We start from the raw sequence: 21182 nt of genomic DNA, 5'->3' as shown, positions 1-21182 counted from the left end.
ATGATGCTACGTACCTTTTCATATATTGATTGATCAATTGTGTATCCTATTATATGGAGTACCAAATTAAGTTTTGGGATTTTTTTTTTAACTTTTTTTTTTTTTTTTTTTTGAGACAGGGTCTCACTCTGTCACTCAGGTTGGAATACAGTGGCATGATCACAGCTCTCCATAGCCGCAGCTCCCTGGTCTCAGGTGATCCTCCCTCCTCCACCTCCCAAGTAGCTGGGGTTACAGGTGCCTGCCACCACACTCAGCTGATTTTTCTGTTTTTTTGTAGAGACGGGGTTTTATCTTGTTGCCCAGGCTGGTCTCAAACTCCTGGGCTCAAGCGATCTGCCTGCCTCAGCCTCCCAAAGTGCTAGGATTGACCACACCTGGCCAATCAAATTTCTTATCTATTTTTCTAGGTACTTTTCTTATTAATTTGTAGGGTCTCTTTGCTGTACGCACTGCAAACGTTTTTTTCGTATCTTGCCTTTCCAGTCTCTCAATTGTATCTTTCAAGAAACAGAAATTCTTAATTTTAATATTATCACTTTGTTAATATTTGCTAATCTTTTTGTTTATTGTGTTGTCTGTAATACTGATTAAGAAATATTTGCCTACAGAAATGGTAGGTTAAATAAGAAGCGTCTCCAATTGGAAATCACTTAAGGACAGGACGAAAGCAGGAACAGAAAATGAACAAATGAGGAGGGTCAGGTCATGCTCCTTTAGGTTCCCCACGTGGATGTGTTAGGATGACTTAAAGCAACAAATTTGAGATGGACACTATATCTGACGCAAGGCTCCCCTACTAGACAAGGCTCAGTGTAACTTTTCTGGGGAAGGTCCATGGAAAACAGATACATTTATGGGCAATTTTGAGATGGGAGCCTGGGTTGCAGCATGCCAGGTCACCAGGACACTGCTTTCACTATGTACTCTGATTTTTCCTGAAGCTGTAGACCCTAGATGTAGAGCAAGGTGTATGCCAGTCAGGCTTGGCATGAAGAAATGAAAGAGAGCATAAGTGGGCAGAGGTAAATACAGGGAGAATACTGAAGGGTTGGTTACTTCAATGAATTACCTCAAAGAATCTCATGAAATAGTCCTCAAATTTCTCCTAGATGCAAGCGTAAATGTTTGCAAAGTCTGTAGAGCCATCCAGTGGTTTCAGTGTGATCTGTAAGCTTTCACGTTTGATACAGGTTTCTGTGTATCACTCCTTGCATATTGAAGGATATATTAGGAGTTTTATCAGTTTTATCAGTTTTAACAGTCAAACTGGCTTCTGAAAAAAAGCGGAAAGGGGAATTTGCTTATTTAATTTAAAAAAAAAAAGTTTAGGCCGGGCATGGTGGCTCACGATTATATTCCCAGCACTTTGGGAGGCTGAGGCGGGTGAATCACGAGGTCAGGGGTTTGAGACCAGTCTGGCCAACATGGTGAAACCCGTCCCTACTAAAAATACAAAAAATTAGCTGGGTGTGGTGGCAGGCCCCTGTAATACCAGCTACTCAGGAGACTGAGGCAGGAGAATCGCTTGAACCCGGGAGGCGGAGGGTGCAGTGAGCTGAGATCGTGCCACTGCCCTCCAGCCTGGGTGACAGTGCAAGATTCCGTTTCAAAAAAAAAAAAAAGTTTATGATTTCAGGTATGATTAGATCCAGGCACTCAAAGACAAATAACCAGGACTCATTGTCTCTCTCAGGCTCTTACTCTCTCTCTAGCTGTTTCTGAAGTGTGTATTTATTAGTCAATATATTAGCATACATTGACACAGTGTAGCATAGCGGTACTGAACATGGGTTCTAGATCTAGACTGCCTAGGTACAAATCTCAGCTTTGCCATTAGCTGTAAAACTTTGGGCAAGACATTTATTCTTATTGACCTCATCTCCAGCTTGTGGATGATCAATGTGGACCCTGTTTCTAAGAGTTACTGTAGAATTAAATGATCAATTGTGATGAACACATAGTAATTGCTCAATTGATATTAACTAGTCATTTCTTGGTTCCCTTTCCTAAGCATTATCTTCAGTCTCAGATAGGCTCACCTCAGGCTCTCCACACATGATAGCAAAAGTGCAACCAGCAGCTCAAAATTTTTTAGGTTTAAACCTGTTGTGAAGAGAGCTATTCTGCCCCCAACAATTCCAACATACAGCTCAGAAATGGGTTTCATGCCTTTGATTTGCCTGTTTCCTGTTATACATTTATCTATGACCCAAGCACTGTGGCAAGGCTAATGAGATTCTCTGACTGGCTTACATAATTTCGTCTGGATTAAAGGTGGAGGGATCAGTCCCAACCTAACGATGTGGAATGGTAACCAAAGAAAGACAGTGCCCTAAGCAAAAATCTGGTGCATTTACCATAAGAATGACAATGTGCTGACTATGCTAAAACATTAGATGTCCAAGAGCAGAGTGGATCCTGTAGGTTTTCTTAAGCAGCTTATCCCACTATCAATCAGAGGCTGGTTCTTAGAGGGGCAGGGAAGTGGGGATTTAGGGATGGAAGCTGTAACGGTAATGACTGCTGGGATTAGCTGAATGGGTAGAGCAACACATTCTGCAAATTCTATTCTAGTGAATTATGCCTTGGGCCTGTATAGTACGTAGAAGTGTAAATGATCTAGAACCCAGTGCAGTAATTGGCCTATGATGGTGGGTTACTGACAAATGGATACTGAGATGGAGAACTTTGAGCAGTGGCTGCTGCAAGTTTGAGGAAAAAAGTGCTCACTGGTAGGATAGCAGTGTTAGACTTGGCAGTTTTTCTTTTTTTTTAATTTTATTTCATTGTTGTAAGAACACTTACCATGAGATCTACCTTTTTAACAAATGTTTAAGTGTACAATAACAGTGTTTTTGATTACAGGCACAATGTTGTACAGCAGATCTATACAACTTGCTCATCTTGCTTAAATGAAACTTCATGCCTATTGATTAATAATACCCCATTTCTCCTTCCTCCACTCCTGGAAACTACCATTCCTTCCTTGAATTTCCAGATTTGACTATTTTAGATACCTCAAATAAGTGAAATCATGCAGTATTTGTCCTTCTGTGACTGGCTTGCTTTGCTTAATGTAATGTCCTCAAGGTTCATCCAGTGGTTGCATATTGTAGAATTCCCTTCTTTTTTAGGGCTGAATAATATTTTACCATTTGTATGTACCACACTTTAAAAATCCATTCATCTTTCCATGAACATTTAGGTTATAGCCTCATCTTGGTTATGGTGAAATAGTGCTGTAATGAACACAGGAGTGCTAACATCTTTGAGATCCTGATTTCAATTGTTTTGGATATACAGTCAGAAGTGGGATTGCAGAATCACACAGTAGTCCCATTTTTTAAATTTTTTGAGGAAGCTCTCTATTGTTTTCCACTGCAACTGCACCATTTTACATTCCCACTAACAAGGGTTCCAGTTTCTCCACATTCTTGCCAACCCTTGTTTTTTGTTTCCTTTGATAGTAACCATCCTGACAGGTGTGAGGTGGTATCTCATTGTCGTTTTAAATTGCATGTCCCTGATTTATGACATTGAGCATTTGTTTTTCACATATCTGTTGGCCATTTGCATGTCTTCTTTGGAAAAATGTCTGTTCAAGTCCTTAGACCATTTTTTAAAATCTGGTTATCCATTTTCTTACTATTGAGTTGTAGGAAATCACTGTATATTTTGGAGATTAACCTTTATCAGAATGTGGTTTGCAAATATCTTCTTCTATTGTGTAAGTTGCTTTTTCACTTTGTTGATTGTTTCCCTTGCTGTGCAGGTTTATGTACCTTGATGTAGTCCCACTTATTTTTGTTTTTGCTGCCTGTCTTTTTGGTGTTGTATATACAAAATCATTGCCGATCAATGTCATGAAGGTTTTCCCCTAAGTTTTCTTCTAGGAGTTTTACTGTTTCAGGCCTTACATTTAAATCTTTAATTTATTTTGAGCTGATTTTTGTATATGTATTTTTGTATATGTGTTTTTGTATATATGTTTTGATTACTGTAGTTTTGTAATATATTTTGAAGTCAGGATGTGGGATGCTTCCAGCTTTGTTCTTTTCCAAGATTGATTTGGCTATTCGTGGTCTTTTGTGGTTCCACATGAATTTTAGAATTTTTTTTCTATTTCTGTAAAAAAAAAATGCCATTGGGATTTTGACAGGGATTGCATTAAATCTGAATTGTTTTGTATAGTATGAATATTTTAACAATTTTAAACCTTCCAGTCCATGAATACAGTATCATTCCATTTATGTATGTCTTCTTTATTTCATCAATGTTTTATAGTTTTCAGTGTATGTCTTTTACCTCCTTAATTAAGTTTATTCCTAAGTATTTTATTATTTTTGGTGCTGTTGTAAATGGGATTGTTTTCCTAATTTTCTTTTCAGATACAAAATAATTAAACAATGTGATTTGCCACATCAACAGATAAAATCCATATGATCATTTCAATAGATGCCAAAAAAGCATTTTATGAGATTCAACATCCTTCTGTGATTAAAAAAAAAAAACCCACAGACTCTCTCTACTACAATTTGGGATTTTTAAAAAATTTTAAAAAGGGAAGAGAAGTGAAGTACCTCAACATAATAAAGTATATATATGAAAAGCCAACAGCTAACATCATATTCATCAGTGGAAAACTGAAAGCTTTTTCTCTAAGATCAGGAACAAGGCAAATATGCCCACTTTCACCACTTCAATTCAACAAAGTACTAGAAGTCCTAGCCAGAGCAACGTGGCAAGAAAAAGAAATAAGAAATATCCACATCGAAAAGGAAGAAGTAAAGTTGTCCCTCTTTGTGAGCAACATCTTATGTATAGAAAATCCTTTAAAAATGCCATAAAAAAACTCTTCGAACTAATAAATCCAGAGAGTTGCAGGATACAAAACCAACATATGAAAAATTAGTTGCATTTCTATACACTAAAAACAAACTATTCTGTTGTTTAAGCCACCCAATCTATGATATTCCATTATAGCACCCTGAACTGACTGAGATAATGCCTAACTAGCAAGAGACTGAAAATGTTACTTTTTGGATTCCATATTTATGCACTCAAAAATATTTACTGTGTACTTATTATGTGCCAGGAACCTTTTTAAGGTGCTGGGGCTGGAGTGATGGCTCATGCCTATAATCCCAGCACTTTGTGAGGCTGAGGTGGGCAGATTGCTTGAACCCAGGAGCTCGAGACCAGCTTGGGCAACATGCGAAATCCCATCTCTACAAAAAATACAAAATTAGCTGGGTGTGGTGGCGTGCAGTTGCAATTTCAGCTTCTGAGGGGGCTGAAGTGTGAGGATCACATGAGCCTGGGAAGGCTGAGGCTGCAGTGAGCTGTGATCATGCTACTGCAATCTAGCCTGAGTAACAGAGTGAGTCTTTGTCTTAAAAAAAAAACAAAAAAAAAACAAAAAAAAAAGATGCTCGGAATAAGAATAACTTCTCAAACTTGAATGAATTTAAAAAGAAAAAGAAAAAAAGATGCTGGGACTGTTTCTGTGAACAGTAGATAAAAATTCCTGCCCTTGTTGAGCACATATTCTAGTAGGAGAAGACAGACATTAAATAAGTAAAACAGTATGAAGGGAAATGTCATGTCTGGTATTCACTTTAAAACATTTCAGAAAAAAGCCCAAACAAAGCAAAACAAAATGATGAGGGTATAGATTAAATGATGGGTAAAATATTAATAATTATTGAAGCTTGGTGATGGGAACATATGAGATTCATTATATTATTCATACATACACACTGTTGTTTGTGATAAATGCTATGTAGAAGTGTAAAGCAGAACAGGAGAAACAGGAGTGCTTGGGGTAAATTATAGTGTGGTTAGGGAAGGCCTGCTGAAAGGTGACATTTCAGCAAAGACCATATGGATGGGGTCACACATTTACTCACTAAACTTGAATGTACAATGACAATGAGGTCTTTTCATTTACTATAACCTCTTAGTCCCCTCTGGGTACTAAGGATATAGCAGTCAACAATCTCATCTTCCTTTTTAGTTCCTCCCCTTTTGGGAGGCAAGGAAGAAAAAAATCTAAATTTAACCCAGCCTGGAAAAACCTCAGCTTAATCTACTTGTTGCTTCAAAGGTAGGATGGGGGAAACTGATGAGACAATGTGGAGACACAAAATTCTATTATCTTTATTGAACACAACAACCTTGTCGGTTAATTATAACATGTCTACAGCACCTAGGCATTTTCTCTAAGTATGCAAGTCTGTACATTTTTTTTTTGAGATGGAGTTTTCACTCTTGTTGCCCAGGCTGGAGTGCAATGGCGCCATCTCAGCTCACCACAACCTCCACCTCCTGGGTTCAAGTGAGTCTCCTGCCTCAGCCTCCCGAGTAGCTGGGATTACAGGCATGCGCCACCACACCAGGCTAATTTTTTGTATTTTTAGTAGAGACAGGGTTTCACCATGTTGGTCAGGTTGGTCTCGAACTCCCGACCAGGTGATCCACCCGCCTTGGCCTCCCAAAGTGCTGGGATTACAGGCGTGAGCCAGTGCGCCCGGCCTACAAGTCTGTACACTTTTATGCCTACCTCATGTTTATCATTTTCATGGTCTCATCTTTCTTGCACAACTTTCCACCTGCAGCCACCACCACCCAACCCACCACAAACACAAGTGCTCCCCACTCTTTCCCTCAAGGTGACAGTAACTAGACCACAGGTTGCTCCACCACTGGTTACCAATTACTTCATTTTCTTACTTCTTTCTTTTTATAATATCATTATCATAAGGAGGAATTTCACTGCCCAGGTCATCAGGAGGGACCCACACAGAGCAATGTCAGTTATAGCCAGTTCTTCTTTGGTCAAACACCAGCTGTGGTTTTAGCTTATCCTGTGCTTATCCCTGTAAGAATGTAAACATTCTGCAGTTGCCTCATCCTTATCTATTTTTTTACTATGTCTTGGTGACCTTACAGTTCCCCCTGAATGCAGTGACTTCAAACTTTCAGCTTTTAATAAGCGACATCAAATAATTCTATTCTTCACTGTAAGATATTTTCCCTCTGATCAAAACCTACCCAACACCAAGAATTTGAACATTCTGATTCTTCAGATCCTTTCCCTAAGCACGGCCCCCACCCCTGCCCATCCCCAACCCTCCCCCCAGCAGAAGCAGAATTAACTTCTTTTTCTGTCTCACTGAATTCTCCCTTTTGAAAAATCCTAGGTGGTATTTTTTTAATGCACATCACAGTTCAGTGTGCTGTGAATAGTGTATTAAAAAGAAATAAAATTGTAGTGGATAGAATATATCAAAATGCATGTTAAATTTTTGTTTCAGTGATAATGCATATGTGTGTGTGTATGTATATTATGATCCAGTTCACATGTACGTATAATATTCGGTCTAGGTACATGTGAACTGGGTCACAATATGATGTTTCCTATTGTGGGCAGTGGTGATGTGAGAGCCTAATAGCTATCAGGCCTAGCCTTTGATGTGTTAATGCCAGCAAAAGGAGTTTGGGAAACCCTTTCATTCTCCAGGTTTGCAAGATAATTCTCTTCTTAGAGAGGTCAGGAAAGTCAGCTTTGAGTCTCAAAGCTAATCAGCATCCTTTCTGGTGTAGCTTCCTTTGTGTAATAATCCTCTGGCTCCTTTTGTGTAATAAGCCTCAAACCAAGGAAAAGGAAAGCTGTGAAGATTACATTGTATCCTTATAATATCGTAAAATATCACCCTACTATACATATCAATTATGAGTCTCAGGCTTTCATATGAATTTGCAGTTGCTTAAGCAAGGAAGGCTGTTTTTGTTTTTGTTTTTTACAATTGATCCCAAGATATGTTTGAAGAGGGTGAAGTAGCAATGGCTTACAGAACCCTTGGACAACTATGGGAGGAGATGCTGGTACAATCTACTGGACAAACAGTCTCTCTCCCTCTTTAACAAACTAGGTCAGCCAGGTGAGAAAGTGTAAATATTGTGGTTATTCCCCTCCCTCATCTCTGAGCTTCAACAGATGCACTTTTCCCACTAGAATGTAAACTCTATGAGAATAGTAATTTTTGTTGACTGCTACATCCTTAGTACCCAGAGGCTTCAGCTCAGAGTATGAGAATGATAACATCACCTGCAGGGGTCCAGAGTACAGCCAGCCAAGTCTGTATCCTACAGGATAGATAGGATGGATACAAGAGCCCAAACACACACATAAATGCCAATTCGAAGTAAAAGAGACAGAATAAGAACTCAGGATATGTAATGGATCAGAAACAGGGAAGTGGGGCCCAAATTGGTTTTCACAAATACCGCTGGATACAGTTTCTTTTACAGACTGTAAAGGTAGGTGGTATGTGGTGAGTTACACCAAAAAACTGGGAGGATGGTTAAAGAACTAAAATTGAATATCTAGGTAGCCTTTCAGACCAAAAAAGAAAATAAAATGACAAGACTTAAGTAAAGCAGTAGAAAAAATAGATTTTACATTTCTGATTAGAATTTTCAAGATTTGGTGATCAATCAGTATAACATATGGGAAGATTAACAATGGTTAGATCATTTACTTTAGGGGAACTGGGCAGATAGTGACTGTATTAAAACATAGAGACTATATGGGGAAGTGGTTTAGATGGTAATGAGTTTAGTTTTGGACACAATAAATTTGAAGTGTCTGTCAAAAATTCAAGTTGAGAGGTCAAATAGGCTTAGAAAATTCTTATCTAAACCTCAGAAAATGGTTAGAATTGGAGCTAAAGATTTAGGAATCCACGTGTGTATAGGTGCTAATTAAATTCATAGGACTTACCTGAATAGAAAAGATGGTTTATAATTTTTTTTTAAGAGACTGGATCTCGCTATATTGCCCAGGCTTGTCTCAGACTCCTGGCCTCAACTGATCCTCCCATGTCAGCCTCCCAAAGCGCTGGGATTACAGATGTACACCACCACATCTGGCCTCTTTATGCAATTATAGAGAGAAAAGTGGGTAAAGAATGGAAGGATGAGGTAGTCTAACATTCAGAGGTAATTAAATGATAATCCAATGTAAGGACTATAGAAAAAATAGAACCAGTAGTATTATATAAGAAAATGAATTTAATATCCAAGCCTTGTTTTCCTGGCCTTTCTCCCATGATTATGCCACATGTGATAGGCAAAATTAATCAACTCATTCAAACTTCTTCTTTTTTCTCCTTCCATTTCCACACACACATATTTGTAAGCAGCTGCAAGTTGGGATCCCAGGAAATAGACTGAGATTCTGAGGTGCGCATGTAGGAGGTTTGTTGTGGAAAGGAGGGTTTCTCTCAGGAACATGATCTGTGAGAGGTAAGGAAGTAGGATTAGAGAGGGAGAAATTGAACTGTGATGAAGTTACAACAGAGGCCTCAGTTGACCCACGGGAGCTCTGAAGCCCCTTCAGAGAAGTTCTAAATTAAAGCCAAGGGTCCAGGCCTTTGTATTCCCACATTGATAGTGGGGGTGTAAACTTAGGTGAAGCAGCTTCTTTATGTAAAGAACAATTTCACAAGAAGAATGTAGCTGCCAGCAGTCAGCAGCCAACACTCTGGGCAAACGGGCGCTAAGTGTCTTAGTCCTTAAGGGGCTAGAATTGGGGGGTGCGGTGGGGGTCATACCTCATCATCCACCATAGAACCTGATTTGTAGCTTTGCAAGTGTGTGTGTGTGTGTGTGTGTGTGCATGTGTGTGTATTTAGTGAATCTCTGGTTGGTCAGTAAGTGGATCATAAAAAATGATTACTGACGACCAAAGTATTCTCGTGATATAACAAATATGTTGGTAAACTGACTAACTACACCTGCTGCTGGTGAGAATAATTCTTCAATTCATCTCTGAGGCAGAGACAAACCTGCGTGGGAAAACCAAGGTTGAGGGAACTCATCTTTTAACTAAGAGAAACAAGTACATAAAAATGTCTCTCCTCATGCTTCTGATCTTCAGTTTCCTCAGGTTATAGCATTAAAGTGAGTACTACAATATTGAGAACAAACACAAATACAGTTTTTGTCAGAAATGTTCAAAGCCTATATAAAGAATAATTTTTAACAGACGTATAGATGTCATTATAACGTGCTGTAAATAATGACTTTTAGAAATCGTCCAAACTTGGCCGGGCATGGTGGCTCATACCTGTAATCCCAGAACTTTCAGAGGCTGAGGCGGATGGATCACCCGAGGTCAGGAGTTTGAGACCAGCATGACCAACATGGTGAAACCCTGTCTCTTCTAAAAATACAAAAATTAGCCAGGCATAGTGGCACATGCTTGTAATCCCAGCTACTTGGGCGGCTGAGACAAGAGAATGGCTTGAACCTGGGAGGCGGAGGTTGCAATGAGCTAAGATCACGCCACTGCACACCAGCATGGGCAACAAGAGTGAAAGTCCGTCTCAAAAAATAAAATCAATCAATCAATCAATCAATCAATCACCTAAACGTATTACTATAGTACAAAGCAAACCTAAGAGTTTTATGCAATATGCTGCTGGGTTATCTCAAATACTCTGTAAATAATTAAGATGTATGCAAATATTAACATATCAAGAGGAGAAAAACAGCAAATGAGAATTAGGATATAGGAGCAGGAAAAGTCATCAGGTTTGTTTGGGAATTTGATAATGTAAATGATTTTTGAATTATCTTTTGAATTTCTAGGTAATTCTGAAGCATAAACTCTGCCATCAAGTGGCTAGGTAGTGTTGGACATGTCATGTAAGCTTTTCAGGCTTTACTTTTCTTATCTATAAAATGAGACGGTTAGACAGTTACTTAGGACCCTCCACGTTCTAAGGGTTATATCAGAGGTATAAATGATGTGTCAGCAGAGTTTAAATAGTATGTACTGGCTGGGTGCAGTGGCTCATGCCTGTAATCCCAACAGTTTGGGAGGCCAAGACAGGCAGATCAACTGAGGTCAGGAGTTCGAGACCAGCCTGGCCAACATGGCGAAACCCTGTCTCTACTAAAAATATAAAAATCAGGCGGGCATGGTGGCATGAGCCTGTAGTCCCAGCTACTTGGGAGGCTGAGGCATGAGAACTGCTTGAACCAGGGAGGCAGAGGTTGTGGTGAGCCGAAATTGTGCCACTTCACTCCAGCCTGGGTGACAGAGTGAGACTCTGTCTCAAAAAAAAAAAAAAAAAAAAAAAAGTATGTACCATGTGTTACTGAACTAAGTGTTTTTAAAGCAGAATTAAAGGACTTTTGCCTCTGAAATATATGTAGGCTATAGAATTCTTAAAAATAGTCTATGGCTGCCCTCTTATTAATAATATAGTAAAGATAAGAAATAAACCAAATATAAAGAGTTTTTATTTTAAACTAATTTATAAGCTCTCCCCCAACAAATATTCATTTACTCAGAAAGAAGGAAGTATATAAAAATACTATGTTTATGTACATTTGATTGAACATTGTAATTTCTTTTTTTAGAGAGATGAGGGTTTCACTCTTACCCGGGCTGGAGTGCAGTGGCATGATTATAGGTTACTGCAGGCTTGAACTCCTAGGCCCAAATGATCCTCCTGCCTCAGCCTCCCAAGCGCCTTGGAATACGTGCACGTGCTGCCACCCACCTGACTAATTGATACTTTTTTTTTTATAGAGGCAGGGTCTTGGTATGTTGCTAAGGCTGGCCTAGAACTCTTGGGTTCAAGCAAGCCTCCTGCCTCAGCCTCCCAGTATCTGAGATTACAGGTGCAAGCCGATTCCAAACATTGTAAATGTTTACAGTTAATGTGTAAGCCCATGGCTCTCACCGCATTAAGAAATTGACCCAAGGGAATAATAGGCAACATATTAGGCATCGTGAATTCATGGCATTGAATGTAATACTTACAAAGCATAAAAACATTTTTTTTTTTTTGAGACGGAGTTTTGCTCTTGTTGCCCAGGCTGGAGTGCAATGGCGCAATCTCGGCTCACCGAAACCTCTGCCTCCCGGGTTCAAGTGATTCTCCTGCCTCAGCCTCCCAAGTAGCTGGGATTACAGGCGCCCGCCATCACGCCCGGCTAGTTTTTTGTATTTTTTAGTAGATATGGGTTTTTACCATGTTGGCCAGGCTGGTCTCGACTCCTGACCTCAGGTGATTCATCCGCCTTGGCCTCCCAGAGTGCTGGTATTACAGGCGTGAGCCACCACGCCCGACCCATAAAAACATTATAAAATGCCATAGAAATTTATGAGTGAAGTTGATCTAGTCACTATTTTGCCTCTGAAAACGCAGCAAGGAAAATTCTATTATGTAACATGCTTGCCAAAATCTTAAAAACTTTAGGAATGTGGCCAGGTGCAGTGGCTCATGCCTGTAATCCTCGCACTTTGGGAGGCTGAGATGGGCAGATTTCTTGAGCCCAGGGGTTCAAGACCAGCCTGGGCAACATGACAAATACCCATCTCTACAAAAAATACAAAATTTAGCTGGGTGTGGTAGTATGGGCCTGTAGTCCCAGCTACTTGGGTAACTGAGGCAGGAGGATCCCTTGAGCCTGGGAGGTCAAGGCTGCAGTGAGCTGTGTTTGCACCACTGCTCTCCGGCCTGGGTGACAAAGTGAGACCTTGTTTCTTTTTATATAAACAGAGTGTCACTCTATTGCCCAGGCTCATCTTGAACTCCTGGGCTCAAGCAATCTTCCCACCTTGGCCTCCCAAAGTGCTGGGATTACAGGTGTGAGCCACTGTGTCCAGCCCCAATATCCTTAATGTCTCCTGACAACAAGTGGCAGCTTCTTTTGTTCTTTTTTAATTTTTTTTTAATTTGGTTTTCGTTGTTGCTGTTGTTTTATTCTGAGCACCAGAAATTAGGATTTTAAAACTGCAACAAATTCCCTTACGTCTACATCCAGAAATATAACTATTTAATTCATTCACTTAACAACTTAAAAAAACAGATACAATTCACGTACCATAAAATACACTCTTTTAAAGTATACAATTCAGTGGTTTTTAGCATAGTCATAAGGAACAACTATTTATTGAATGCCTACTATGTGCCAAGTTTCTATTCAACTTGATATTCATGAACTAGAAGTCAGAGTTTTCAAATATGTAACAACATGAACATTCCTTATTTGTGTCAGATAAACTAGGCAATGTTGAAATAATTATTGGTTCATGATCAGGGATGAACGTAGCCAATATGAAAAATGAAATTTGCTTCTAGTGTTAAAAACAATGCCAAATACAGAGTCAAGAACTATTTCCTCTTTGGCACAGCCTGGCTTGCTCATGAACTTAGATTAAATCTCTGGCATTGATTGGACAGATGTGGAGTAATTTATCAACAGTAGCACTTGAAATCATAAAGTTTTAGAGCTGGAGGATACCTCAGAGATCATCTACATCTTATACCTCCACTATACCAATCACGGAACCAAAAACCAGAGAAAGTTAATGACCAGCTGCAAGTCTCAAACTCAGAACAAAGCTTTCAGATTCTTACCTGGTGCTTGTTCCTTATACCAGTTCCTAAACTCGATTTCTGAAGGACCCAGGATTCTTGGTGAATCCTACAGGGCTTCTAGGATAATGGATGGATGGCTGAGTGGAAGAGCCTCTGCATCCCAACCAAGCTTCAACTCTAGCATTGCTATGTTTACCTCTTTGACTTCCTAAGATTCTAAGCAAATTTTTGTTTTAAAAATAGTTCCATTGCTAAAAAATACATGAATATTTTTTGAAAATACTTTATGGAAAGTGATTCCATATTGTCCAAAGGAGAAATGTGCCTATTACTGAACATATGGTTTAAATATTCTGCCTAGAAAACTGTGCAAAACCACCTGAACATTTAACAGATTTCTTAGTAAATGGTATATGTTTTAGAAGTGAATCAATATCATGAAAATGGCCATACTGCCCAAGGTAATTTATAGATTCAATGCCACCCCCATCAAGCTACCAATGACTTTCTTCACAGAATTGGAAAAAACTACTTTAAAGTTCATATGGAACCAAAAAAGAGCCCGCATTGCCAAGTCAATCCTAAGCCTAAAGAACAAAGCTGGAGACATCATGCTACCTGACTTCAAACTGTACTACAAGGCTACAGTAACCAAAACAGCATGGTACTGGTACCAAAACAGAGATACAGACCAATGGAACAGAACAGAGCCCTCAGAAATAATGTCGCATATCTACAACCATCTGATCTTTGACAAACCTGACAAAAACAAGAAATGGGGAAAGGATTCCCTATTTAATAAATGGTGCTGGGAAAACTGGCTAGCCATATGTAGAAAGCTGAAACTGGATCCCTTCCTTACACCTTATACAAAAATTAATTCAAGATGGATTAAAGACTTAAATGTTAGACCTAAAACCATAAAAACCCTAGAAGAAAACCTAGACATTACCATTCAGGACATAGGCATGGGCAAGGACTTCATGTCTAAAACACCAAAAGCAATGGCAACAAAAGCCAAAATTGACAAATGGGATCTAATTAAACTCAAGAGTTCGGCACAGCAAAAGAAACTACCATCAGAGTGAACAGGCAACCTACAGAATGGGAGAAAATTTTTGCCATCTACTTATCTGACAAAGGGCTAACATCCAGAATCTACAATGAACTCAAACAAATTTACAAGAAAAAAACAAACAACCCCATCAAAAAGTGGGCGAAGGACATGAACAGACACTTCTCAAAAGAAGACATTTATGCAGCCAAAAGACACATGAAAAAATGCTCATCATCACTGGCCATCAGAGAAATGCAAATCAAAACCACAATGAGATACCATCTCCCACCAGTTAGAATGGCGATCATTCAAAAGTCAGGAAACAACAGGTGCTGGAGAGGATGTGGAGAAATAGGAACACTTTTACACTGTTGGTGGGACTGTAAACTAATTCAACCATTATGGAAGTCAGTGTGGCGATTCCTCAGGGATCTAGAACTAGAAATACCATTTGACCCAGCAATCCCATTACTGGGTATATACCCAAAGGATTATAAATCATGCTGCTATAAAGACACATGCACATGTATGTTTATTGCAGCACTATTCACAATAGCAAAGACTTGGAACCAAGCCAAATGTCCAACAATGATAGACTGGATTAAGAAAATGTGGCACATACACACCATGGAATACTATGCAGCCATAAAAAATGATGAGTTCATGTCCTTTGTAGGGACATGGATGAAGCTGGAAACCATCATTCTCAGCAAACTATTGCAAGGACAAAAAAACCAAACACCACATGTTCTCACTCATAGGTGGGAATTGAACAATGAGAACACGTGGACACAGGAAGGGGAACATCACACACCGGGGCCTGTTGTGGGGTGGGGGGGAGGGGGGAGAGATAGCATTAGGAGATATACCTAATGTTAAATGACGAGTTAATGGGTGCAGCACACCAACATGGCACATGTATACATATGTAACTAACCTGCACATTGTGCACATGTACCCTAAAACTTAAAGTATAATAAAAAAAATTATATTTATAATTATAAAAAAAAAGTGCTCCTCTTTTTCATGCTTGCAGAATTTTTGAAAGTAGATTGTGCATGTTTGAAAGAAAACAAAGCATTTTTACTTACCTCAAATTCAGTTACTGAAATTGCAGGAAAAAAATGATTTGGGTAGATGATTGTACTTATTAATGGAATATAAAAGTATGTACATTCAAAAACATTTTTCCATAATATCAATGGAAAATAGAGAAGCATCATCCCTAGAATCCTTGTTTTCAAAGTGTTGATCCCATTATCTGACTGGAAAACTAGACAATCCACCACCCCAGGAGGGGATGGGTGTGCTTAACCCTCCTCTTGGTTATCTCCAGGGGCACTCCAGCCCCACCCTGGCCCTTCTTGGAATTCTTCTCTTCAGGAGGCCCAGGCGACCACTGCCAAACAAAGAACAAAGAGAGAAATTGCCGTGCTTCTGGGAGTCCAGGCAGTCAATGAAGGACAGACAGGATGTTCACCACCTGCAGACCTAGATATGGTGCTAGTGGATCAGCACAGGGGCATGATGACTGGACTTGGTCACTCCTGGCTTGAAGAGCTGGGTCTGCAGTCATCTCTGCAAGAAAGCCTCAATCTTCAGGCCTAGGATGCAATCTAGTTTCATTCTGCCCCTGTACCGCACTCTGATGTGAATAAGTCACCACAGCAGGGCACTGCCTTCAAACAGATGCCATGGGTCCTTCTCAACAAGCATCAGCAGCTCCTGGGCAGCCCTGCAGATCTTGTCCAGGGTAAATTTAACCCTTCAGATGTCACGTTTGCTCTGGAGGCCATACTTGCCTATCAGTTTTAGCTCTTGGTTGAAGGGGGACTTCTCAAAGGGTCTCCCTGTGATCACACAGGTTTTCCGACCCAGCTTGGGACCACTAGTGTGTTGACTCTGCGTGTCCATCTGTGCCTCACCTAAGGGTAGGTCCCGGTTACTGCGAAAGGGGCTAGAAAAATATATTTAAAAAAATAAAATACACCACATGCGGTGGTTCAGCCTGTAATCCCTTTGGGAGGCCAAGGCAGAAAGATTGCTTGAGCCCAGGAGTTCAAGGCTGCAGTAAGCTATGATCATACCACTGCACTCCAGCCTGGGGGACAGAGTGAGGTCCTGTGTCTTAAAAAAAATATAATAAAATAAAATGTCTAAAGTCAAAGTATGTCAAGAAATAAAGATGCTTAGCTAAGTATTGTATTCAAATACATATTCTAGTACTCACTACACAACATGGTGTAACTCAGTATTAATAAAGTTATATGTCATATCATTATATAACATTTACATTATGCTTTATTGTATACATAATTTTCATTTTGGGGGTGCTGAATTTGTGTTTTCTTTGTGAAATTAAAGAATCATTTAATGATGTCATAAAGTGTGTTTGGTTGCAAAATATTTTTGAATATTACTGGTGTTCAATTTGTGAAATACATGATTAATCTCACAGCATAACCATTTGGAAAGCCAAATGATCCACTTCAGTTTGTGTGATAGTTAATACTGAGTGTCAACTTGATTGGGTTGAAGGATACAAAGTATTGATCCTGTGTGTGTCTGTGAGGGTGTTGCCAAAGGAGATTAACATTTGAGTCCCGGGGCTGGGAAAGGCAGACCCATTCTTAATCTGGGTGGGCACCATCTAATCGGCTGCCAGTGGGACTAGAATAAAAAAGCAGAAAGAAAAATGTGAAAAGACGAGACTGGCTACCCTCCCAGCCTACATCTTTCTCCCATGCTGGATCTTTCCTGCCCTCGAACATGGGACTCCACGTTCTTCAGTTTTGGGACTCGGACTGCATCTCCTTGATCCTCAGCCTGCAGATGGCCTATTGTGGGACCTTGTGATCATGTGAGTTAATACTTAATAAATTCCCATATATATATCCTATTAGTTCTGTCTCTCTAGAGAACCCTAATACAGTTTGTATACTTTATAAATGTGGAATTTCATATATCAGTAGTGCTAAATTAAAGTATACCTTTATATATATAATATAATATATATATTATATTACTTCAGTAAATATATTTGTTCAGTAAATATATATGTTCAGTAAATATATATATAATTCAGTAAATATTTATATATATAAATATATATATATAACTTCAGTAAATATATTTGTTCCAGAAAAGTTACATGTAAGCTGACCTTTTAAGGACATAGAACTTCACATATATATTTTCTTAATTTTTTAAAATTTTATTTTACTTTTAACTGACAAATAATTGTCTACTTTCTTATTTTTTGTCTTTAATCAGCAGTGGCTATGCTCCCACTACTTCAAGTCTTTCTGCCCTTTATACTCTCTATCAAGTAACTAATGATGTGAGAATAAATGTTTAAATATCTTAGAGCTCTCCTATTATAGCCTGTGTACACCTACATAAACACATAGGCATTCAATGCATATTTATTGATTTTCAAAAGGATAAAAGAGTTTATTTTATATATGTACCGTGCCAGTAAAGTAAATCATGTTCCAAAAGTGCTAATGGTATATGTCTTAGTCCATTTGTGTTGCTGTAACAAAATAACACAGACTGGGTAATTTATACAAAATAGAAATTTATTCCTCACAGTTCTGAAGGCTGGAAAGTCTGAGATCAAGGCACTGGCATTTGATGTCTGGTGAGGGCCTTCTCACATGGCAGAAGGCAGAAAGGTAAAAAAGGGAATGGATGCTGTGTCCTTGCATGGCAAAAGAGTGGGAGAGAGAAAATCCACTTCCGTAACCCCTTTTATGGCCTTAATCACCTTCGAACAGCCCCACATTTTATATTACCACATTGGCTAATAAATTTCAAATATTAATTCGGGGTGCGATATTCACACCACAACAGCATAAAAGGTCACTGGGATTATTTTATTCTCCTGAAGTCTTGGGACTATTTAGTTTCCCAATAAGTTTGCTCTTTTCCATGTTAAAAACACCCTAGGTCAAGTCACAGAGAACTTTTAAGGCCAAAGATTATACTACCTAGGGAGTGGTACATTCATATTACTTGCCCCTTTCTCTCAAGGGCTTTTTTTTTTTCTTGAGATGGAGTCTCGCTCTGTTGCCCAGGCTGGAGTGCAATGGCGCAATCTCCGCTCACTGCAACCTCTGCCTCCTCCCAAGTTCAAATGATTCTCCTACCTCAGCCTCTGGAGTAGCGGGGATTACAAGCACCTGCCACCATACCCAGCTAATTTTTGTATTTGTTGTAGAGACGGGGTTTCACGATGTTGGCCAGGCTGGTCTCGAACTCCTGACCTCAGGTGATCCGCCTGTCTCAGCCTTCCAAAGTGCTGTGATTACACACGTGAGCCACTGCACCCAGCTCTCAAGGGCTTTCTACATGAGTATATCTTAAACACAAAGTAGCTCAGGTGTCACTCACCTGGCCTACTGGATCCTTCCTGAAATTCTCCCTTAGACTGTCATTAGCTGTATGTATCTTCTGCTTTTTACCTAGCTATCACTTTACCTTAGGAATGAGGCCAACAAAAGGCAGGGTACAGGTGGGAGGGAACAAAGCTGTACTGCCTTTATATAACCCTAATTCTAGAGTCTTGAAGATTATTGCCTAGGGGAACTGGTCTTTACAGAGTCCAAAAGGCTTGCATGGTACCTAGAGTGCTCAACAAATTTATTAAATGTCATCAAAATGCAGTTGGGGTAAAAAGAATCAGGTATATTTGCTGACTCTTGATCTATGCTCTTGGGGTTATTTACATCTGTGCATTGTATCTACTGTATCCCTGTGGTGGGATTACTACATAATGGTGTGCTGCTGCTTATCCTCAACTGCATCCAGAGAAATCATGTTGGTAGCCTGAAACTGGCTGTAGTGGGGGAATTTTTACCACAGAAATTAGCAAACTTCTGTGAGGTGCAAATTTTTCTGGAAAAGACCATGCAGTAAATATTCAAAGCCATTTTTTGTTTGTTGTTGTTGTTGTTGTTGTGTGTATTTGTTTTTTAAATTGACATTAGAGACAGGGTCTTACTATGTTGCCCAGGCTGGTCTTGAACTTCTGGCATTAAGTGATCCTCCCATCGCAGCCTCCCAAAGTGCTGAAATTATAGGCATGAGCCACTATTCCTGGCCCTATACCAAAGCTCTTTGGAAGTAATTTCAATCGATTTCTTCTGCAGGAACTTTTGACACTTTCTCAGGTCACTTACTCTATCAGTCTAAGGCTACAATAGCAAAGTACCACAGAATAGGCAGGTGAGATGACAGAAATTATTTTCTCATAGTTCTGGAGGCTAGAAGTCTGAGATCAAGGTATCAGTAGGGTTGTTCTCTTCTGAGGCCTCTGTCTTGGCTTGTAGATGACTGTCTTCTTGTGTTACCACATGGTCTTCCCCAATACCTGTTTGTAAAAATTTCCTCTTCTTATAAAGACACCAGTCATACTGGATTAGAGCCCACCCTAATGACCTCATTTTAACTTAAATGACTTTTTAATTTTTATTTTTTTGAGACAGAGTCTCGCTTTGTCACCCAGGCTGGAGTGCAGTGGCGTGATCTCAGCTCACTGCAACCTCTGCCTCCTAGGTTCAAGTGATCCTCCCACCTCAGCCTCCCAAGTAGCTGAGATTACAGGCGCATGCCACCACACACAGCTAATTTTTGTATTTTTAGTAGAGATGGGGTTTCACCACATTGGCCAGGCTACTCTCAAACTCCTTGCCTCAGGTGATTCGCCTGCTTCGGACTCCCAAAGTACTGGGAATACAGGCATGAGCCACCGTGCCTAGCCTTAAATGCCTTTTTAAAGACCCACCTTCTGGGGTACTGTGGGTAGGCACTTCAACATATACCTCTGGAGAGGGGAAACAATTCAGCCTGTAATACCCTGTAGCGAAAAATGCTGCAGGTCAATGTTTAACAATCAGCTGTCCAAAAAGAAAAAGTCCCGAATTGTAGCATTTGCTAACTTCTGTGGTAAAATTCCCCCATTACAGCCAATTTCAAGCTACCAACATGATTCCTCTGAATGCAGTTGGGAAGAGATAAGCAGCAGCACACCATTATATAGTAATTCTACCATGGAGATACAATAGATACAAATAACCTCAATGCATAGATGTAAATAACCCCAATAGCATAGATTGAGAATCAGCAAACTTTTCAGCAAGCTTTTCTGGAAAAGACTAAGCAGTAAATATTTTCGCATTTGCTCAACACTGCATCATAGTAAAAAAAGGAGCCAGGCTGGGTGCAGTAGCTCATGCCTCTAATCCCAGCAATTTGGGAGGCCGAGGTGGGTGGATTGGTTGACCTCAGGAGTTCAAGACCATCCTGGGCAACATGGCAAAACCCCATCTCTACAGAAAAATACAAAAATTAGCCGGGAGTGGTGGCGTGCGCCTGTGGTCCCAGCTACTCGGGAAGCTGAGGTAGGAGGATAGTTTGAGCCCAGAAGGTCAAGAGTGTAGTGAGCCGTGATGGCACCACCGCACTCCAGCATGGGTGACAAAACAAGACCCTATCTCAGAAAGAAAAAAATAAAAATAAAAAAAGGAGGTATAGATAATATGTAAATGAAAAAATAAAAAGGAGCCATAGGCAATATGTAAATGAATAGGTGTGGATGTGTACTGATAAAACCAGTTTTCAACTGGCCTTTGCCTAGTGACAAGAGTTGGGGATATCTAATGGGATAACTGCTCCGTCATCAGCTTTCAACCAACCTGCCTTGTTTTGGCCTTACT

The 21182-nt window shown here is 39.7% G+C and overlaps 1 long non-coding RNA gene and 1 pseudogene across 1 annotated transcript in view, besides 1 other annotated feature; both read right to left on the bottom strand.

The window, feature by feature from the left end:
- Positions 1-21182, bottom strand: part of CHD1-DT (CHD1 divergent transcript) — a 75460-nt gene that overhangs the window by 33276 nt on the left and 21002 nt on the right. The gene's annotated exons all lie outside the window — the stretch shown is intronic.
- Positions 7229-7973: an enhancer, noted in NCBI's record as "OCT4-NANOG hESC enhancer chr5:98298477-98299221 (GRCh37/hg19 assembly coordinates)". NCBI's record gives its function as "activates a minimal SCP1, AML or CMV promoter by ChIP-STARR-seq in naive H9 embryonic stem cells {active_cell/tissue: H9 hESC(naive)}" and the evidence as "EXISTENCE:reporter gene assay evidence [ECO:0000049][PMID:30033119]".
- Positions 15737-16377, bottom strand: RPS9P3 (ribosomal protein S9 pseudogene 3; annotated as a pseudogene).

This window comes from Homo sapiens, chromosome 5, assembly GCF_000001405.40.
Source record: "Homo sapiens chromosome 5, GRCh38.p14 Primary Assembly".
Lineage (NCBI taxonomy): Eukaryota > Metazoa > Chordata > Mammalia > Primates > Hominidae > Homo > Homo sapiens.
This window is presented reverse-complemented; position numbering and strand designations above follow the sequence as displayed.